Raw genomic sequence first — 22,441 nt, forward strand, 5'->3', positions numbered from 1 at the left:
AATAATATGCGACCACTTTTATGCAGCTTTTCTGATATTTATATTTCCTACAATTATGGAGTTTTATATTTTCTACAAATTTTCAATGGATTTGGTTTTTTTTCTATTCACTCTACAAGGGTTTAAAAGTTATTCTTTCTACAGGGTATAGAATTTATTATTTCTATAGAACCTATTTTACTTGGTCTAGGAGCTTCTGTAGGCTTCAAACTGTGTTTGGCTCTGAAAAGAATTAGTGCTTTATTTCTGCAGTATTTTTCTTCTTACTACTGTTCTAAATCACAACATACTAGAAGTAAGAATAACTTATAGTAAAGGTTCACACATAGATCATTTTTCCTGATTAATTAAAAAAAAATCTTCAGTCTGTTTGACTCCAAGTTACCATTTCTACATGGGATTCCACCCCTAAGAGATTTAACAAATGAGATCATTTAAAATCCTGGCTGGGCACAATGGCTCACACTTGTAATCCCAGCACTTCGGGAAGCTGAGGTAGGCACATTGCTTGAGTTCAGGAGTCCTAGACCAGCCTGGGCAAGATGGCAAAACCTCGTCTCTACAAAAAATATAAAAATTAGCTGGGGGACTAATTTTATATTTAGTGTGTGGGGGCACACACCTATAGTCTCAGCTACTCAGAAAGCTGAGCTGGGAGGTCAAGGCTGCAGTAAGCCATGATCATACCACCACACTCCAGCCTGGGTGACAGAGTGAGACCTTGTCTCAGAAAAATAAATAAGAAGTAAATAAGTAAATAAAATCCTAATGTGTTATACTGGGTAATACATTTGTTTTATGTTATTCTCATGAAGAAGCTATCAGTTTGTTTTTCAGTGAAGGCAGCCATCCCTCGTCGTGTCTAAAGAGCACTGATTCCAGTGCCCGCAGATGTTAAGTAGCGAGCGTGTTCATGTGTTGTCATGCCCCTCATTCAGGTGTTTACACTGAGCTCGCTCTGGTGCTGCACACAGGAGTCCCTCCTTCTCCAGCCCAAACCTGCCCTGGGCCACTCTGGGCTTCTCCAGGTGACCACCATGCTGTCTGAGAAACACTACCACACGCCTGCACCCCTCAGTGCAGACGCCACCACAGGCCGTGCCTGGGGACCAGTGCAACACAGGGTCTCTGGGAATTGCTTTAAAATACCAACACAAGGAAAAAGGTCAATATAAACTCATGTGGCGGAATTTCAATCATTGTGGAATCTGCACACTGAGTTTGTGAATGCTCCCAGTGATATTTTTCTATACCTCTGTACATGCCTGAAATTTTTCATGATAAAATTCTTAAAAAGAGGTCAAGAGGCACGGAAGTCAGGCAAAGGATTACTGTCAATTCTGGGTGAAGGAGGTGAACATCCAAGCATCTTTCCACAGACTCCAAATGTCTTCCCTTTGCCCCTGAGGCTCTGCCCACCCAGCTCTCCGGCTCAGGTTGGCCTCTTTGGGCAACAGGGCTGTGGTCACTTTGGTTGCAGGTGGAGTTGGCCCATAAGGAGTCCCCACAGGAGCTGGGAGTAAGGAAGAGAGTACGGTCAGGGAATTCATGCCTCCTGCAGCGTCACCAGGGCCTGGTTATGTCCTTCAGCCCAAGGTCACTGTCCTTCTCAGGGAGCTTGCTCTACATCGGGACTCTGCGCCCTTCAAGGTTCAAGTAATTGCTCCTCCCCTAGTCCCTCGGGTCTAGAGGGTCATGATGCCACAGCTACTACTTTCCCCAAGTTCCAGGATGGCTTCTCATGGTTCCGTTTCCCCCTTTGCACATAAACCCATGATTGATCCTAATTGGACTGTGGGGTGCCTGACCGGTAGAATACTCCACACAGTATGATCGCCTATTCCATCCAGGAGGGAGAAAGGGAATCAAACTGACTGTGACAGGTACAGCATGCCAGATTGGCAGGAAAGTACTGCAAAGTGCCCATCAGTGTGGGTTCCCTCCTTTCCTCCCTGAGTTCCTTCATGTGCACATGGAACATGGATCCCTTACCCTTCAGAAGCTGACAGAGCCAACAATGAGTCACCTTTTGCAGACCAGATGCAGACTGCAAATACTCCAAGGAAGGGCTCAGAATCACGCATGCAGACTGACTTTCCTGTCTCCCAGGATGCAGTAAAATGGAGCCCGGAGCTGGGAGCTGAGGGAAACCAAGTCTACCGGGTCCCCCCAACTTGACGAGGACCTCAGACGGTCAGGAGGCATCCTGTTGCCTTTTGATGACTCTTTTCCTAAAGATACTGTGTGGTACTCATCAGGACTGTAACCGGGCCCTCTCTTTCCATCTTGCATTTCCTATGTAATGGCCAAAGACACTTGGTATGCCTCTCCCCAAAACAGACTATGGCATACTTGGACATATGGAGGGATGACAGTGGCAAAAAGAAAATCCCTGAAATCAACAAAGTGGGATTAGACAGCCAGGTTTGCAACTAACTGCTTATTAGGCTGAGACAGTGGTGGACAGCACCTTTCCTAGAACGCCTGTGAAATGACAGGCACTTTGGGGTGTGAGAGTCATTCACACACTTAGAAAATACAATGCCTCCAATGACTAGGCTTTGTGTTGTTTCTGGAGAAGGGAGTCATAACAACAATGGTTGCCTTTTCTCGAGCACTCATTCTGTGTCAGATACTATGTGAAGTGTTCTACATGCAAAATCCCTAACATTATTTCCTCATGATATGAAAAAAGTAACTGATTCAAGGCCACACGACTAGCAAATGGCAAAGCTGAGTCAAACCAAGGATGTCTGGCTTAAAAGTTTATGCTCTTTCCATTACACAATTTGTTTTCTCCTAAAGGAGGCGGAAGGATATTTGTTGAGAGTTTTGTTTCATTCGGATGCAGAGGTATCTAAGAAAAAGAGGAGGGAGAAGCCATAGAAGGGACAAGACAGGCCCTTCTCTCCCCTCTCCTGGCCACATGTGAAGGACGGGTTTTGAGCCTCTGAAAACATAAGATGAAGCCACAGTGTTCATGAAATACTGGGCAGGACTGAGTTCATGCATAGTCACCTCCCTCCCAGAAAACACAATAAGCACAGACATCGGGAGAGGCCATTCACCAACCCTCACCACCCCACCCACAAGTTGCAGTCACCTTGGGCTCACAGGGTAGTTGGGTGCAGGGCAGTAACGTCTTTCAGAGGGCACCAGCTGCAAAGCCACGGCAGGGCCCCTGGACCAACAGGCTCAAATGGAAAGAACATGAACAAACTTGTTCCTAAGCCCATGTGAGACGTCACCTCTCCAAGGACACCCAGAAATAGCTGGGGAAGAATTTAAGCAGATGAGAGAAGCATGGAGGTTAAGGTCTTGTCAAGCAAGTTTGGAGTTTGGAGCCATGGAGATATGTGTGTAAATATTCACTGACTTTATTTATCCTCATGAACTCCTGAAACCTAGGACAGGTGGAATATGGCTAATCCACTTGTTCCTTCTTTGGGCCCTGGCTCTGTTTCTGGGTTACTGGCACTAGGTCATGGCCCCAAGCCCACGTCCTCCCCTGTCCCTCATCACCCGTGTTCGCTGCTCATTTCCTTGGCCCTCTACTGCCCACCTGCTCGTCCCTGGCTGTGCTTGTCTTCAGCTACGTGGACCCCACTGTTCTGCCTACTCTCCTGAACACTGGACTCTGCTCTACCACCTGAATTTTTAGTACTCCCATTGTGATCTCATCAAAAACCTATATTTCTTCTTTGTCCCTGACTCCTGGCACACAGCACTTAAAACTCTTGAATTTTCTGAGTGATAGGAGTGTCTTTTGTTATTAATAAAGAGCCCCTTTTGGCCCTACCTCAGTATTCTTGGTATTCTTTTTTTTATTTTTTTTTATTTTTTTTGAGACGGAGTCTCGCACTGTCACCAAGGCTGGAGTGCAGTGGCACGATCTCGGCTCACTGCAAGCTCCGCCTCCTGGGTTCACACCATTCTCCTGCCTCAGCCTCCCGAGTAGCTGGGACTACAGGCGCCTGCCACCGCGCCCGGCTAATTTTTTGTATTTTTAGTAGAGATGAGGTTTCACCGTGTTATCCAGGATAGTCTGGATCTCCTGACCTCGTGATCTGCCTGCCTCAGCCTCCCAAAGGGCTGGGATTACTGGCATGAGCCACGGTGCCTGGCCTTCTTGTTATTCTTTAGATAGCTTCCAGGTGGGGGCTGGTGGCCAAGCGAACCAACCACGTGATTAATGGGCTGGAACTTTCAGCCTCACCCCTGATCTCCAGGGAGAGGTGAGGTGCTGGAGATTGAGTTCCATCACCAATGGCCCTCTTTTCCACTATACCTCGTCCTGGGGCCCTGTCTTTGGCCTACCTATTCAGTTGTAGCAAGAATGCTGCTAAGTCAGTTTAGCAAGACTCCCCTACCTTTAATATCTGATCAACCTGGCCTGCCATCAGCAAGAATCCTCTACCCTTGATGTCTCCCCTTGGGAATTTCCATGCACTGAACCCTCTGCTCCTTGACTAGAAATCCCCAGCTCTCTTTGCCATATTGGGAGTTGAGCCCAATCTCACCCCCATTGTGTAGCAATAGCCCTAAAAAGTCTTCCTCACCATTTAAACAAATGTCAGAATAATTTGTTCTTTAACACTTACAGTGTCATGACTTGCATAGGATCAGATTCATCATTAGGGCTGGGCGCAGTGGCTCATGCCTATAATCCCAGCACTTTGGGAGGCTGAGGCAAGTGGATCACCTGAGGTCAGGAGTTTGAGACTGGTTTGGCCAACATGGTGAAACCCCATCTCTGCTAAAAATACAAAAAATTAGCCAGGTGTGGTGGCACACATCTGTAGTCCCAGCTACTCGGGAGGCTGAGGCAGGAGAATCACCTGAACCCGGGAGACAGAGGTTGCAGTGAATCGAGATCGCGCACCTGCACTCCAGACTGGGTGACAGAGCAAGTCTCCCTCTCGAAAACAAACAAAGATTCGTCATTGGACTCCTGGACCTCTCATCTTATCATTGGATCCTTGGACCTCTCATACCCAGACACACACCTTTGAAGCCTTTTCTTCAGTTCTGACTGATTTATTAGGGATCCGTTCATGAGTCCAACTCCTAAGCCAGTGCTCCAGGTAAAGACAGACTTTGATTCTTAAGATTGAGTATACTGTAGAAGCTGGTTTAGAGGAGTCCTAGGCTTCTCTGTTCATTCGACAGGGAGGCTGGGTCAGAGTCCTGGGCTTCCCTGTTTATTAAATATGGAGGCTGGGTCAGAGTCCTGGGCTTCCCTGTTTATTAAATATAGAGGCTGGGTCAGAGTCCTAGGCTTCATTGCTTGCAAAGTACCATTAGTTAAGAGTATGGGAGCTTCTCAGTCACTGAAACCCCCCTTCTCAAGCCCTTGATGGCTGTATGCTCCACCACTAGGGCCACTAGGGCATGCACTCACTCTGTCCACTTCCTTCCTTATGGCATAATTTTACTAAGGATAATTTGGAACTTTGATGGCTTCCCCAAACGGGCACCTTTAAGACCTCCCCCTTCCTATCCCCTCTGCTCCTCTTTCCTCCTTTCACCACCTTTGATCTTCCCTTCAGTTCCTTTGAATCCTTTAATATGTTGTCTTTGAAACCCCTACTTCTCCACCATCCACCTGTCCACTTCTGCCAGAACTTTCCCTTCCCACTCAAGCCTCCCACCTCCCTACAATCACCGGAATCTTAGGCCTCCTACCCACATCAGGAGCTCTCAAAGGACCCCCAAAAGCAATCAGATATATGAGCAAATGAAAATCTTACAAGTCTCCTCCATAAATATTGGTGGAAAGCATTAGCCCTCGTAGTGAGCAGGTAACCTTACCTTATTCTATCTGTCAGAAACACTTAGGAAGCAGGGCAAAGATGAGAGCCAAGTATTTTATACAAACCTGTGAAATTTATTTTACTCTTTTTACCTGACATGTAGCTACAATATTCGAATGAAAGCTACAAGGTCTCTATTTGCATCTGTATGTAACTTTATATACGTATGCATGTATGTTATGTGTGTATGGTATTTTTCTACCTCTGCATGGGATTGCCAAGTTAACTTATAAAATCCCTTTAAGGATTTCTATTCACATTGGCTTAGAGATAAATCAGAACTTATATAAATTCAGGCCGGGTGCAGTAGTTCATGCCTGTAATCCCAGCACTTTGGGAGGCCGAGGTGGACAGATTATTTGACGTCAGGAGTTCGCGACCAGCCTGGCCAACATGGTGAAACCGTGTCTCTACTAAAAACACAAAAATTAGCCAAACGTGGTGGCAGGCACCTGTAACCCCAGCTACTTGGGAGGCCGAGGCAGGAGAATTGCTTGAACCCAGGAGGCAGAGGTTGCAGTGAGCCAAGAGTGTGCCACTGCATTCCAGCCTGGGCGACAGAGCCAGAATCTGTCTCAAAAAAAAAAAAAAAAGAACTTATATAAATTCAATATCCTAAAACTCCCAGAAATCCAGATACCAACCCAAATGTTTTTCAAGCTCATATGATTTGAGTAAATTTTTAATAACTAAGACTATTTTGGAATTATTGGTTTAATAAAAATGAATTATCAGCATTAAATATAAGCATTATTCTTGGATTTACGGTCAATTAAGGTAAAATTATAACCACTAGATGTTTAAGATTAATTTTTAAATTATAAATTTAACCTAAGAACAAATGTGTAAGTAAAGATGCAGTAAAAATGAATTGCTTGACATACATTACTTCATATATATCAAACAAGCAGTAAAACAAATAGAAATCCACATATTTAAATCTTTTCACTGTTTTTCTTTAATTTTGTGATACATGCCTAACATGTGTATGTTAACTGAAAATAGTTAACAGTTAAGTTAACTTAAATAGTTAAGATGATGGCTAGCTTTGTATAATGTTATAATATGTCTGCTAAAAACAGTTTCTAAAATCTTTTTGGCAACTGGCAGCCTTAGAGTTATACTAAGTAATAGACATTCATTAGCAATTTCTAAGCAATCTCAAGTACTGAAACATTAATTACTAAGCCTAAGTTTAAGATTACATAATTTTGGCTTCTTATTATTATATGGTCTAGGGGGCCTATGTATTTAGGCTTGTTAATAAATATGAAAAATTATACTATAAGACAGCATAATCCTATAATAATTGTGAGATGGTAGATTCATAAAACTTGCTAGCCTTCTACAGAATGCTGGTACACAACAGACAATTCACAGTTGTCTACTTCCTAGTTCTCTCTGTTAAAAAAAGGTTGGTAATGGTTAAAAATTATAATCCATATTTGTAAAGGAAACTATTACAATTAATAAGGGTGAGGTGAAACAACTTTGTTTGCAAACTCTGTTTTCATTAAGGGAAAAGAGAGTAATTTTGTTCTAAAGTAAAATGACTGGTTGTTCCAGAATGAGAAAGAAACAAATATAGGACAAAACTTGAATAACTATAAAAAGTTGTAAAAGGTTTGTGAGAAATATTGCAAAAGGAATCTTATCTCATGTGGCCAAAGCTCACTAAGATTGGATTAATTTATTTATAAGGTTTCTTTTTTAATGCATTTTAGTCTCTGTTAAAATGACAAAGTTTTCTTGGATTATTGATCTGCTCTTAGTAACATATTTTAAAAAGGTTTTCTTTATCTTTTGAGTAATCCACCTAGGAAACAAAGATTTTATGTCTTCTCAGAATAATTTCCTGTCCTAACCTTTACCATGTCCTTGGCAATTTAAAAGGACCAAGTCCTCTCACATTTAAGAGCTAAGGTTTTTTACAATTATGTTACCACCTCTATTTACTTTTGAATACTATTACTGTCATATCAAAGAAAAGAGTCAAACTCTGTAAAATATTTGAAGAGATTTATTATGGGCCAAATATGAGTGACCATGGCCCATACACATCACTCAGGAGATTCTGAGAACATATGCCCAGGGTGGTTGAGGTACAGCTTGGTTTTATATATTTTAGAGAGGCATGAGACATCAGTTAAATACATTTAAGAAGGCCAGGCGTGGTGGCTGATGCCTGTAATCCCTACACTTTGGGAGGCCGAGGTGGGCAGATCACCTGAGGTCGGGAGTTCGAGACCAGCCTGACCAACACGGAGAAACCCTGTCTCTGCCAAAAATATGAAATTAGCTGGGCGTGGTGATGCATGCCTGTAATCCCAGCTACTCAGGAGGCTGAGGCAGGAGAATCGCTTGAACCCAGGAGGTGGAGGTTGCAGTGAGCCAAGATCACGCCATTGCACTCCAGCCTGGGCAACAAGAGCGAAACTCCATCTCAAAAAATAAAATAAAATTAAATTAAATTTTAAAAATACATTTAAGAAATACATGGTTTTAGCTGGGTGTGGTGGCTCATGCCTGTAATCCTAGCACTTCGGGAGGCCAAGGTGGGCAGATCACCTGAGGTCAGGAGTTCGAGACCAGCCTGGCCAATGCAGTGAAACCCCATCTCTACTAAAAATATAAAAAATTAGCGAGGCGTGGTGGTGCATGCCTGTAGTTCCAGCTACTCGGGGGGCTGAGGCAGGAGAATTGCTTGAACCAAGGAGGCAAAGGTTGCAGTGAGCCGAGATGGCACCATTACACTCCAGCCTGGGCGACAAGAGTGAAACTCCGTCTCAAAAAAAAAAAAAAAAAGAAATACACTCGTTTGGTTCAGAAAGGTGGAACAACTCAAAGCAGGGGCTTCCAGGCTATAGGTAAATTTAAACATTGTCTGGTTGACAATTGGTTGAGCTTATCAAATATTATTATTTGAGGACAATTGAGATCTGGGATCAACGGAAAGGAATGTTTAGGTTAAGGTAAAGGATTGTGGAGACAAAGTTTTATTGTGCAGAGGAAGCTCTTAGATAACAGACTTCAGAGAGAGCAGGTTGTAAATTGTTTTTTATTGGACTTAAAAGGATGCCTGGTTGAGACCACCCTGGCCAACATGGTGAAACCCCATCTCTACTAAAATACAAAAAAAAATTAGCTGGGAGCAGTCCCAGCTACTCGGGAGGTTGAGGCAGGGGAATTGCTTGAACCTGGGAGGCAGAGGTTGCAGTGAGCCGAGATTGCGCCACTGCATTTCAGTCTGGTAACAGAGTGAGACTCCATCTCAAAAAAAAAAAAAAAAAACATGGATGCCTGGCTCTTAGTTAATTATTGATAGAGCAGGAGCATCGCCATCTTGGACAAGCCCCTCATTCTAAAGTTCACCTTAATAAAAAAACACCTAAATCTAAACGGCATCAGCCTGATGGCTAAGGTCAGCATGACCATAAACCACAAATAACATCTCCAACCAGAAACATCCCAAACTCCTCCCTGTCAGATACAGTAAGTTCCTTTTCAAAGGTTTAATTTCTGACCTCCTTTGTTCTTTGTTCTCGAGATCAACTTCCTTGTCCCTTCTCCTAAGCTACTTGCTCTGTAACAACTTCTGCCGGTCCCAATCTGTAACTCACATCTCTTCCTTGTTTGGGAAGAGTCCTCTTTTACTTCTGGCTACCCATTCTGTAAACTGCCCCTCCCGCCGAAACTACCCTTCCCGCCTTTGCCGTGCCCTGACATGCCCAAACATGTCTTGTACTGTAATGGACAGCCTCTCCCTTCCCACCTAATTAGCCATATTCAATTTTAAACAGTAGCCAATTGGGTCAGTTTAGATAGTACACTCCTACTCCAGCCTATGGGGATAGGACACAGAAGCAGGGACTAACCACGTTAGGGATGAAACCCCCTTCCCTCCTTTGTTTGGTGTGTTCTCCCAGTGGCCAGAAGTGTGAGTGGCACCCTTCTGCAGAAGTAAATTTGTCTTGCTGAGAAATCCTTTGAGTGCTCGTTTTCCTTGTGACTCTGAGCTCTTGTTTCTAACATCCCCCATCACAGACATGCTAGCCCCTAGATAAGCCCCCTCCAGCCAGGAAGATGCCAGCCTTGAGATAACCTCCCCTCCTACCAGAGAGCTTCCAACCCTGCCATAAACTTCTCCGCACACATAAACATTCCAAGCTTGTGATAAGCCCCCTCACCCTAAAACCAATATATACTCTTAACCTATAAGAGAAAGTGCTCCTGACTGCTATCGGCCAGGGGTGCCTCTCAGGTTTTAACTAAAGAAAACCTGTCTTTGACTGCCAAGCCACATTTTGTGTTTCTTTCCTCTTTCTTTAACTCTTACAATTATCTCCTGGATCTGGGAAGGAAGGAAGGAAGGAAAACAAACAAGGGAAGGGGATTCTCTATAGAATGTGGATTTTTCCCACAAGAGATTTAGCAGGGCAATTTCAAGGTATGGCAAGGAAATATATTTTGAGGTTAAATCTTTTTCCCTTGTCTCATAATGTTATGCCAGAGTGAGACTGAATTGTAAGTCACAATATATAGGGTCAAATATAACCCATCTGATTAGAATTTATGGTTTATATGGCATGACTCCCTAGACCCCTTAGATAGGAATTTGGGTAAGATAAAAATCAGAGCTTAGTCCTCAGTCACTTTGGTTATTTTTATTTACTTATTTTATTTTATTTTTTTGAGAAGGGGTCTCGCTCTGTCACCCAGGCTGGAGTGCAGTGGTGCCATCTCGGCTCACTGCAAGCTCCGCCTCCTGGGTTCATGCCATTCTCCTGCCTCAGCCTCCCGAGTAGCTGGGCCTACAGGTGCCCGCCACCACACCCGGCTAATTTTTTGTATTTTTAGTAGAGACACGGTTTCACCGTGTTAGCCAGGATGGTCTCGATCTCCTGACCTCGTGATCCGCCCGCCTCGGCCTCCCAAAGTGCTGTGATTACAGGCGTGAGCCACCGCGCCCGGCCAGTCACTTTGGTTAAATAGGTAGCTAAGCATTGTTTCACACCAACCTAACATCCTATTTAGTCAAATGTTCAAACCTCTTGATATTTTTGACAATTTTGCCTTCCCCAAATCAAATCCTAAACAAAACCTTGATCTACAATTGACCTTGAGTTTTCCCATAAGGCCCTTGGAAAATCCTCCCAAATTTGTTCTTTCACCTTGTAAATAGAGTGGTGTTAAAAATTATTAAGTTTATTCGATTTGTTGAACTGAATAAAAAGCGTATCAAATAAAAAAGATACCTAACCTTTGCTAGGTTACATTCAAATGGGTAAATATTATTAATATAAATATTTTAGAAATTATAAGAAGTTCCTAGAAAATGTGTCAATACCTGCATTGTCCATGACATGTCCTGGTGTAATATTTTTAGTCATAATTCTAGTTACCGTTTTAAAATGTTACACATATAAGAGGAAAAGATCTTGGGCCCCCAAAATCGCTCAGGAAAACTCAAGCTGGGAACTGCTTAGGGCCAACCTGCCTCCCATTCTATTCAAAGTCACTCCTCTGCTCTCTGAGATAGATGCATATCTGATTTGCCTCCTTTGGAAAGACTAATCAGAAACTCAAAGGAATGCAACCACTTGTGTATCACCTATCTGTGACCTGGAAGCTCCCTCCCCACTTCCAGTCTTCATGCCTTTGCTTCAAGTTGTCCCACCTTTCCAGACCAAACCACTGTATTTCTTACATATATTGATGGATGTCTCATGTCTCCCTTAATGTAGAAAACCAACCTCTGCCGTGACCACCTTGGGCACATGTCATCAGGACTTCCTGAGGCTATGTCATGGACGGATCCTCAACCTTGGCAAAATAAACTTTCTAAATTAACTGAGACCTGTCTCAAATTTTGGAGGTTCACACATGCCACAGAAATAACAAAATTTCCTTGTCAAATAAACTTTCATTAGCTCTTTAACCGTCTTAAGGCTTTTGCACCACTTTTGTTTTACTTTCTACTGTGATGCTTTTCCAGAAGCATCTGCAATCACAGGCCGAAGTGCTTGTCCTCACCAAAAAGGGACTGTCTCAGAGATCCATGGAAAGAACTAAGCCAGGTAATCTGGGAACAGACTCCTGATGGCATTCCTTATTAACTTTGAGGCCACACTACTAGACTAAGAGTTTCCAGAGGCCAGGCGCAGTGGCTCACGCCTCTAATCCAGCACTTTGGGAGGCCAAGTCAGGCAGATCATGAGGTCAGGAGATTGAGACCATCCTGGCTAACAGGGTGAAACCCGTCTCCACAAAAGACACAAAAAATTAGCCAGGTGTTGTGGCAAGTGCCTGTAGTCCCAGCTACTCGGGAGACTGAGGCAGGAGAATGGCATGAACCTGGAAGGCGGAGCTTGCAGTGAGCTGAGATTGCGCCACTGCACTCCAGCCTGGGCAAAAGAGCGAGACTCCATCTCGAAAAAAAAAAAAAAAAGACTTTCCAGAGATATAGTAGAGAAGCTATGGATTCATAAAATTGCTAACCTTAGATCAAGCAGAACAACAATTAATTACACGGGACTGAATGAACTAATAAATGATGACAATGGTTTTTGTTTGGAATATTGCTGTTGGATTTAAGAAATTCCTTTTCTGTTAAGCTATCTATAACAGTTAAACTACCTATAATTCACAATCTATACCATGCAATTTAGTGATTATGCCTTTGTAAACAGAAATAAAGCATTTACCTTTGCCTTCCCACCTAATCCCTCCAGAATTCAGAAACTCATCTTCATAGTTATATATTTATTTGCATAAGTTCAATAGGAATCTGTTCCCCTTGTAACAAGGCATAATTGGAAACTTTGGTCATATGACAAAGGCTTTGACTGGAATGTCATATTTGAGAATGATATGCACAGAATCAGATATGAGCAGACAGTTTTAAGGAATGAAGGTTGACTTTATGGAGAGAATGCTTACAAAGCCCTCTCGGGAAATCTGCCTGGTACCTTGCTTATGGAGTTCCCAGCCTTCCAGAAGAGTAAAGAAGGTCATTTTCTGGCAGGCCCAGGAACCTTAGGACCCAGAAAAGAGGAATTCACCCAAATATATAGGTATTGCAGATAAAGTCTGAGAGCAAGTTCTTAGCATGGCTTCCTAACCTGCAGATGCTTTCAAAAGTTTAATCAGGGCCGGGCATGGTGGCTCACGCCTATAATCCCAGCACTTTGGGAGGCCAAGGCAGGCAGATCACTAGGCAGGAGTTCGAGACCAGCCTGGCCGACATGATGAAACCCTGTCTCTACTAAAAATACAAAAAAAATTAGCTGGGCGTGGTGGCAGATGCCCGTAATCCCAGCTACTCGGGAGGCTGAGGCAGGAGAATCGCTTGAACCCAGAAGGTGGAGGTTGCAGTGAGCCGAGACTACACCACTGCACTCTAGCCTGGGCAACAGAGTGAGACTCCACCTTAAAAAAAAAAAAAAGTCCTTCTCACAAGTTCCAGCAAAGCAAACTTCAAAAAACTCACGTCTCTGCCAGGTTTTGGTATCAGGATGATGCTGGCTTCATAAAATGAGTTAGGGAGGAGTCCCTCTTTTTCTGTTGTTCGGAATAGTTTCAGAAGCAATGGTACCAGCTCCTCTTTTTACCTCTGGTAGAATTTGGCTGCTCCTGGGCTTTTTTTGGTTGGCAGGCTATTAATTTCTGCCTCAATGTCAGAACTTGTTATTGGTCTATTCAGGGATTCAAATTATTCCTGGTTTAGTCTTGGGAGGGTGTATATGTCCAGGAATTTATCCATCTTCTCTACATTTTCTAGTTTATTTGGGTAGAGGTGTTTATAGTATTCTCTGATGGTAGTCTGCATTTCTGTGGGATCAGTGGTGATATTCCCTTTATCCTTTTTTATTATGTCTATTTGATTCTTCTCTCCTTTCTTTATTAGTCTGGCTAGCGATCTATTTTGTTAATCTTTTCAAAAAAACAGGTCCTGGATTCCTTGATTTTTTGAAGGGTTTTTTTGTGTCTCTATCTCCTTCAGTTCTGCTCTGATCTTAGTTATTTCTTGTCTTCTGCTAGTTTTTGAATGTGTTTGCTCTTGCTTCTCTAGTTCTTTTAATTGTGATGTTAGGGTGTCAATTTCAGATCTTTCCTGCCTTCTCCTGTGGGCATTTAGTGCTATAAATTTCCCTCTAAACACTGCTTTAGCAGTATCCCAGAGATTCTGGTACATTGTGTCTTTGTTCTCATTGGTTTCAAAGAACTTATTTATTTCTGCCTTAATTTTGTTATTTACCCAGTAATCATTCAGGAGCAGGTTGTTCAGTTTCCATTTAGTTGTGCGGTTTTGAGTGAGTTTCTTAATCCTAAATTCTAATTTGATTGCACTGTGGTCTGAAAGACTGTTGGTTATGATTTGCGTTCTTTTGCATTTGCTGAGGAGTGTTTCACTTCCAATTATGTGGTCAATTTTAAGTGCGATGTAGTGCTGAGAAGAATGTATATTCTGTTGCTTTGGGGTGGAGAGTTCCGTAGATGTTGGATGCAAGGCTGGTTCAACATACGCAAATCAATAAACGTAATCCATCACATAAAAAGAACCAATGACAAAAACCACGTGATTATCTCAATAGATGCAGAAAAGGCCTTTGATAAAATTCAACACTCCTTCATGCTAAACACTCTCAATAAACTAGGTATTCATGGAATGTATCTCAAAATAATAACAGCTATTTACGACACACCCACAGCCAATATCATACTGAATGGGCAAAAGCTGGAAGCATTCCCTTTGAAAACCGGCACAAGACAAGGATGCTCTCTCTCACCACTCCTATTCAAAATAGTATTGGAAGTTCTGGCCAGGGCAATCAGGCAAGAGAAAGAAATAAAGGGTATTCAAATAGGAAGATAGGAAGTCAAACTGTCACTATTTGCAGATGACATGATTGCATATTTAGAAAACCCCATCATCTCAGCCCAAAATCTCCTTAAGCTGAGAAGCAACTTCAGCAGTCTCAGGACACAAAATCAACATGAAAAAATCGCAAGCATTTCTATACACCAATAATAGCCAAATCATGAGCGAACTTTCATTCACAATCGCTACAAAAAGAATAAAATACCTAAGAATACACCTTACATGGGATGTGAAGGACCTTTTCAAGGAGGACTACAAACCACTGCTCAAGGAAATATGAGAGGACACAAACAAATGAAAAAACATTCCACGCTCATGGATAGGAAGAATCAATATCGTGAAAATGGCCATACTGCCCAAAGTAATTTATAGATTCAATGCTGTCTCCATCAAGCTACCATTGATTTTCTTCAAATAATTAGAAAAAACTACTTTAAATTTCATATGGAACCAAAAAAGAGCCCGTATAAGCCAAGATAATCTTAAGCAAAAATAACAAAGCTGGAGGCATCACATTACCAGACTTCAAACTATACTACAAGTCTACAGTAGCCAAAACAGCATGGTACTGGTACCAAAACAGATATATAAACCAGTGGAACAGAAAAGAGTCCTCAGAAATAATGCCACACATCTACAACCATCTGAACTTTGACAAATCTGACAAAAACAAGCAATGGGGAAAAGATTCCCTACTTAATAAATGGTATTGGGAAAACTGGCTAGCCATTTGCAGAAAACTGAAACTGGACTCCTTACACCTTATACAAACATTAACTCAAGATGGATTAAAGACTTAAATGTAAGCCCTAAAACCATAAAAATCCTAGAATACCTAGGCAATACCATTCAGGACATAGGCATGGGCAAAGACTTCATGACTGAAACACCAAAAGCAATGGCAATCGAAGCCAAAATTGACAAATGGGGTCTAATTAAACTAAAGAACTTCTGCACAGCAAAAGAAACTATCATCAGAGTGAACAGAATGGGAGAAAATTTTTGCAATCTATCCATCTGACAAAGGGCTAATATCCAGAATCTACAAGGAACTTAAACAAATCTACAAGGAAAAAAAAAACCCCATTAAAAAGTGGACAAAGGATATGAACAGACACTTCTCAAAAGAAGATATTTATGTGGCCAACAAACATTTGAAAAAAAGCTCATCACTAGCCATTAGAGAAATGCAAATCAAAACCAAAATGAGATACTGTCTCATGCCAGTTAGAATGGTGATCATTAAAAAGTCAGGAAACAACAGATGCTGGAGAGGATGTGGAGAAATAGGAAAGCTTTTACACTGTTGGTGGGAGTGTAAATTAGTTCAACCATTGTGGAAGACAGTGTGGCGATTCCTCACTGTCCAGAAATACCATTTGACCCAGCAATCCCGTTACTGGGTATATACCCAAAGGATTATAAATCATTCTACTCTAAAGACACATGCACACGTATGTTTATTGCAGCTCTGTTCACAATAGCAAAGATTGGAACCAATCCAAATGCCCATCATTGATAGACTGGATAAAGGAAATATGGCACATACACACAATGGAATACTATGCAGCCATAAAAAGGATGAGTTCCTGTCCTTTGCAGGGACATGGATGAAGCTGGAAACCATCATTCTCAGCAAACTAACACAGGAACAGAAAACCAAACACCACATGTTCTCACTCGTAAGTGGGAGTTGAACGATGAAAACACATGGACACGGTGGGGGGAAACACCACACACCAGGGCCTGTCGGGGGGTGGGGATTAGGGGAGGGATAGCATTGGGAGAAATACCTAATGTAGATGACAGATTGATGGGTGCAGCAAACCACCATGGTACATGTATACTTATGTAACAAACCCACACGTTCTGCACATGTATCCCAAAACTTAAAGTATAATAAAAAAAAGTTCTAATATTAAGTATTATTTCTCCTAATATCAACTAAATAACTGCCAATTCCACATAAAACACTTCTCTTACCATGAATTCGTATCATGAATTTTAGTATTTTCAAATCACAATAAATTTACAAAAAGGGAGAATTTTATTATAGGTAAATTGTATCCTATTAAACCTGACTTTAAAAAATTAATGGGCAAAAAAACCCCTCACGTCATCAATTATTATTTTTTGCATTTATGTAAATAATCAGGCCAAATCTAATGAAACCAGACATTTTGTCAATGAAAACAATCTTACTTTGGTTATCTTGAATCAAAAAGGGGACATCATTGTAGAGAGATATTTTATGCTTCAATCTACAGCACACCCTTGTAGGTTATCAGTTTCTAGATGTGTTCACTGTCTTTGAGCTATTTTTCACCTCTTTGCAAATTAAAGTCAGCCATTTGGCACAGTGTATCTTCCACACTCTGCTCCAGGAAATAACCATGACCGTGACACTGATGTCTATGCCATCACCAAGGACATTCAAACTGAAAGCCAGGACAGCCACTAGAGGGCCACTGCCATCCTCATTCTGCCACCCGAAGATACTGTAAGCCCAACATCTAGACTCAGAAACTGAGTTTACAGTCTGCTCTACCCATGCATCTTTGTTTTTCTTTTTATTTATTTATTTTTTTCAAGACGGAGTCTTGCTCTGTTGTCCAGGCTGGAGTGCAGTGGCGCAATCTCGGCTCACTGCAAGCTCCACCTCCCAGGTTCACACCATTCTCCTGCCTCAGCCTCCCAAGTAGCTGGGACTACAGGCGCCTGCCACCACGCCCGGCTAATCTTTTTCTATTTTTAGTAGAGACGGGGTTTCACCGTGTTAGCCAGGATGGTCTCCATCTCCTGACCTCGTGATCTGCCCACCTCGGCCTCCCAAAGTGCTGGGATTACAGGCGTGAGCCACCACGCCCGGCCTGTTTTTCTTTTTGTTTTTCATAAATGTCTGACTTATTGAAGCATCCAGCAAATATCCTCTATCACCAAGTCTCAACAGATGGTTCAGCTGGTCCTTAATGAACAAAAAAGACAACCAACAAGAAATGGACTTAGATGGTTCAGACAGAAGAATGTCTGTTCTTTCATGAACAACAGGGGGAACTAAAATAGACTTTCTCTTTAACCAAACATTAGACAGGCTCCCCCACGCCCTCTTTTTGACACGGCATTGTCTTCGGGTCCTGCCTTTGACCTGCCTAGCCCAGCTGGTGCATGCATCCCGCCAAGTCAGTTCAGACAGAATCCCCTGACTCCGGCTATCTGATCACCTCCACATCCCATCGGATTCCTCAACCCCACCTTGATAGCCGATCATTGTTTCAAGTCAGTTCAGCAAGAGTCCCTGACTTTTGACATTCCCCCTTAGTAATTTTCCATGCAGTGACCCCTCACACTGCACATTGGCTGTGAATCCTCAGCTGTCTGTGCTGTATTAGGAGTTGAGTCCCTATCCCTCTCCCCTGTTGCAATCGTCTTGATGCCTATCAAAGTAGTCCTGAGTAAAGTCTTCTTTACTATTTTAATAGGTGTCAGAATATGATTTTGAGCAAGTCATGTGACTTCAGTTGTCACATTCATCAAATGAAGCCCCCGCCCCCCAACATAAGAGAGGATTCCTAGACATTTCCACTCGTCTGAATTAAGCCCAAGTATGCCCTGCTCTTACGCACACTGTAACTAGAGCTGTTTCCTCAGGACCCTTGGGGCAGTTTCCCCAAATCTGGCCCACCTCTGGAATCTGCCTTTTGCACTAACATATTCTGAGGCTCCAACATCTTCCTGAAAGCAATGGAGAAGGAGCCAGTCCCAAAGCAGCTTTCAACAAATGAGATTCGTTATGTTGCAACGTTTAGCTTGAAACTTCAGATGAATATATTTAATACTATATCTGCTTTCATTTCATTGTGTACATCACGTTCTACATGCCTTATTAGATAGATAATTTAACTGCTTTTCCCACAATATTTCCATAAAGCCAGGGCCTGAGAAGGCCCTGTGTGTTAATGCTGTGACTCTGAGCATGCCCCCACCACCCTCACACACAACTATGGACACCAGAGCTCCAGAAGCCTAGAGTGGATCCTCTTTAACAATTTTCTTTTTGGCCTGGCACAGTGGCTCACGCCTGGAATCCCAGCACTTCGGGAGGCCGAGGCGGGTGGATCACGAGGTCAGGAAATCGAGACCATCCTGGCTAACACGGTGAAACCCCATCTCTACTAAAAATACAAAAAATTAGCCGGGCGTGGTGGTGGGCACCTGTAGTCCCAGCTCGGGAGGCTGAGGCAGGAGAATGGCATGAACTCGGGAGGCGCAGCTTGCAGTGAGCCGAGATTGCGCCACTGCACTCCAGCCTGGGCGACAGAGCAAGACTCCGTCTCAAAAAAAATAAAAAAGAATTGTTTTTCCCCAGAATAATGAGACTAGGCATATTTATGGTCTTAATAAAACAAGTTTTACTTTTTTTTTTTTTTTTTTTTTTTTTTTTTTGAGACGGAGTCTTCCTGTGTGGCCCAGGCTGGAGTGCAGTGGTGCGATTTCGGCTCACTGATTGCAAGCTCCGCCTCCCAGCTTCACACCATTCTCCTGCCTCAGCCTCCCTAGTAGCTGGGACTACAGGTGCCCACCACCACGCCCAGCTAGTTTTTAGTATTTTAGTAGAGACAAGGTTTCACTGTGTTAGCCAGGATGGTTTCGATCTCCTGACCTCATGATCCGCCCGCCTCGGCCTCCCAAAGTGCTGGGATTACAGGGGTGAGCCACCGCGCTGGCCGTTTTTTTTTTTTTTTTTTTTAAACATGGTGTTTCACTCTTGTTGTCCAGGCTGGTGCAATGGCACGATCTTGGCTCACTGCAACCTCCGCCTCCTGGGTTCAAGCGATTCTACTGCCTCAGCCTCCCGAGTAGCTGGGATTGCTCCACCATGCCCAGCTAATTTTGCGTTTTTAGTAAAGACGGGGTTTTGCCATGTTGGTCAGGCTAGTCTGGAACTCCTGACCTCAGCCTCCCAAAGTGCTGGGATTACAGGTGTGAGCCACCGCACCTGGCTGGTTTTATATAAACCAGCCTGGTTTGATAAAAGTGTATTTTTTTAAAAAAGACTGATGTTTTGACTCTCAAAACATCTACTCTGTGTGTTCATAAATGTGGCTATATCTAGTCACTAACATTTTAGCTTTAAGTAATTTGGTACGTAAAGCCTATATAATGTAAATCTCTGCAAAAATACACGCAAAGTTAATTCATATTTTTTCTAGCTATGAATGGAATTTATTGCATTTTGAATACAAAGACAGCATAACCTGCTGGTTTTAGATGCATCAAATCAATCCTAATTATTAAACATTTATAGTTAGTGTCAGCGTCAATGATTCTACATAGTCACTGCTCTTTAAAATGGATGTATAGACGAAATTACCAATACAAAGAAGTCAGCTGGAAAGTTAAAGGAAAATGGGTTCACCTTTGATTTGAAAAAAAGTCTGGTTCCAAAACTAGGAGGGAATGCATTAATATGGAAGCATTTTAGAAGGTTTAAAAAAATGTACAGAAATACTGCAAGATAACATGTATGATGATAGGTAAGTAGACTTCTCTCATGTTTAAATAATTTAGCATCAGTAATGGTGTGGAAATTAATCTCACATGACTTCTCATAATACTAGAAATATGGAAAACAATGAAATATTTCAATCATTTAATAAAAATCAAACCCATAAAGTCGTCTCAATACTCTTGTCCATTCACACACTTAAATAACAACCAGTCACAAAATGAATCCTGAAACTAAGAGGCAACACTACTGAAAAAGTATCACTTAGTTCCACTGTCTAATGGGTAACAATTTTCAAAAGGTAAAGAGCAATACAGTGAGTTCTTTTCAATGTTTTGCTTTGGAAAGCCAAATATCAAGACGTTTTATTTGTTGATATCTTTAGGTTACAAGATGTGAAGAATTCCCTGATCTCTATGGCACTAAAATTTCAATTATTGAATGTAATATCGAAATACAGCATTCAGAATTAATGAAAGAGTATTTTGTTATGCTTAAGAAAAAAAGAAGCACATACAGAAATTTAAGGAATAATTATATAAATATACATACTTTTTTTTTGCACAAATCCTCAAGCTTGTAAAATAAGCATATATTCTTATAAGATAGCAACTAAATTTGAGAAAAAGAGCAAGCATTATATTTTGTCATAATTTATAAAGGGAAAAGTGGAGTTCTCTTTCTCTCTCCCCTCTCCCTCTCTCCTCAGGTTATTCAATACAATTCTAAGTATTTCACAGTTGTTTATTTTATATTTTCCAAACAATCATATGGCAGTGAGAGGCACTCATAGATACATTTTATGAAGGAGAAAATGGGCTACATCTAGTTAGCTCTCCATTGCAATAGCCTCACCAGTATAAACAAAATGCAAAACTATCTGGGCAAAGTCAAAGAAATTATTTTTAACCCTTGGCTTGAAAAATTACATATACAATTTCAGTTAGAACTGAGATATGGATGGTTAGTTCACTTTTACCTCTCGAGTGCTTTCATTTGTTTTTGCCTATGTTTCATTTGGGAAAATCCAACAAGTCTTAAAATCCCAATGCAAATTATTGTCATTTAAAACATTAACTCATTTACCTGTTCTCCTTGGTCTCCATGATCACTTCTCCTGGGATATTTGTTTGTGAAAACCATGAAAGTACGCTTCTTTCTTCTGTTTAAGTCTTCCCTCTGTGCTTCCTTTAAATGTGTACTCCAAGTTCAGCTCTTCCTGCCAGGTGGAAAAAAAGCCTGTTTTTCCCTTCAGTGTCCATTCATCATCTGATGTCAGGAAACATTGTCGTGTGTTGCATTTGTATTCCTTAAAGTATGACTCTCCAGTCTGATAATGGTTGCCTGCTGATCCAGCGACCCATGGAAGTTCTCAGGATAAAACAGTGTGGATTCGCTAAAGGTTTTTGGCTTTCCCCCAGAGCAAAATCAATTTATTTTCATCTGAGAATTTTCTGTATTTCTTTTTGAAGGTTCTTGGGGAAAACGTCGCAGAAATTCTTGGATTTTGTTTCTCACCCTCATCTCAGCAGATGTAAAATATTCTTTGGTAGGAGCCTTTCTTCTGGCTCTGGTGACATGGGCATCTTGGCCTCACTTCTGTGATCCTGGAAGAAAAATCAAGGAAGGGTAAAGAAAGGGTTAAGGAAAAGCACTTGAAGTCAATGCACTGAAAATGCAATTCCTCATTGAAGAGGGCCATGGTACTCAGCTCCAGTGACTTTCTAATTATACTCTGCTAGTGGCACTACAGCTCTGCCAAAGAGCATGGCATTCGTTTCTGGCCTCACAAGACAGGCAACCAACAAACGCACATGTGCAGCTACAGAAATTAAAAGTACATCGGCCGGGCGCGGTGGCTCACGCCTGTAATCCCAACACTTTGGGAGGCAGAGGCGCGCAGGTCACAAGGTCAGGAGATTGAGACCATCCTGGCTAATACGGTGAAACCCCGTCTCTACTAAAAATACAAAAAATTAGCCGGGCGTGGTGGCGGGCGCCTGTAGTCCCAGCTACTTGGGAGGCTGAGGCAGGAGAATGGCGTGAACCCGGGAGGTGGAGCTTGCAGTGAGCCAAGATCGCGCCACTGCACTCCCCGCGCCTGGGCAACAGAGCCAGATTCTGTCTCAAAAAAAATAAAATTAGAAGTACATCTACTTAACCACTTAGTTTCATGTTCCCTCTATTTCTCTGACTTCTTCCAAGTGGCAGTATGTGCTTCACTCACATGTGATGTGCCTT

The 22,441-nt window shown here is 42.2% G+C and overlaps 1 protein-coding gene across 8 annotated transcripts in view; it reads right to left on the reverse strand.

Annotated features, from left to right (window-relative positions):
- Positions 1-22,441, reverse strand: part of SACS (sacsin molecular chaperone) — a 104,873-nt gene that overhangs the window by 61,104 nt on the left and 21,328 nt on the right. For all 8 annotated transcript variants that reach the window (XM_047430261.1, XM_047430257.1, NM_014363.6 and 5 more), the window contains exon 2: positions 21,287-21,807. In XM_047430261.1, coding sequence (XP_047286217.1) covers positions 21,287-21,306 — 20 coding nt within the window. In that variant the 5' untranslated portion in view covers positions 21,307-21,807. The remainder of the gene's footprint in view (positions 1-21,286; positions 21,808-22,441) is intronic.

Source organism: Homo sapiens, chromosome 13, assembly GCF_000001405.40.
Source record: "Homo sapiens chromosome 13, GRCh38.p14 Primary Assembly".
NCBI classification, from domain to species: Eukaryota; Metazoa; Chordata; class Mammalia; order Primates; family Hominidae; genus Homo; species Homo sapiens.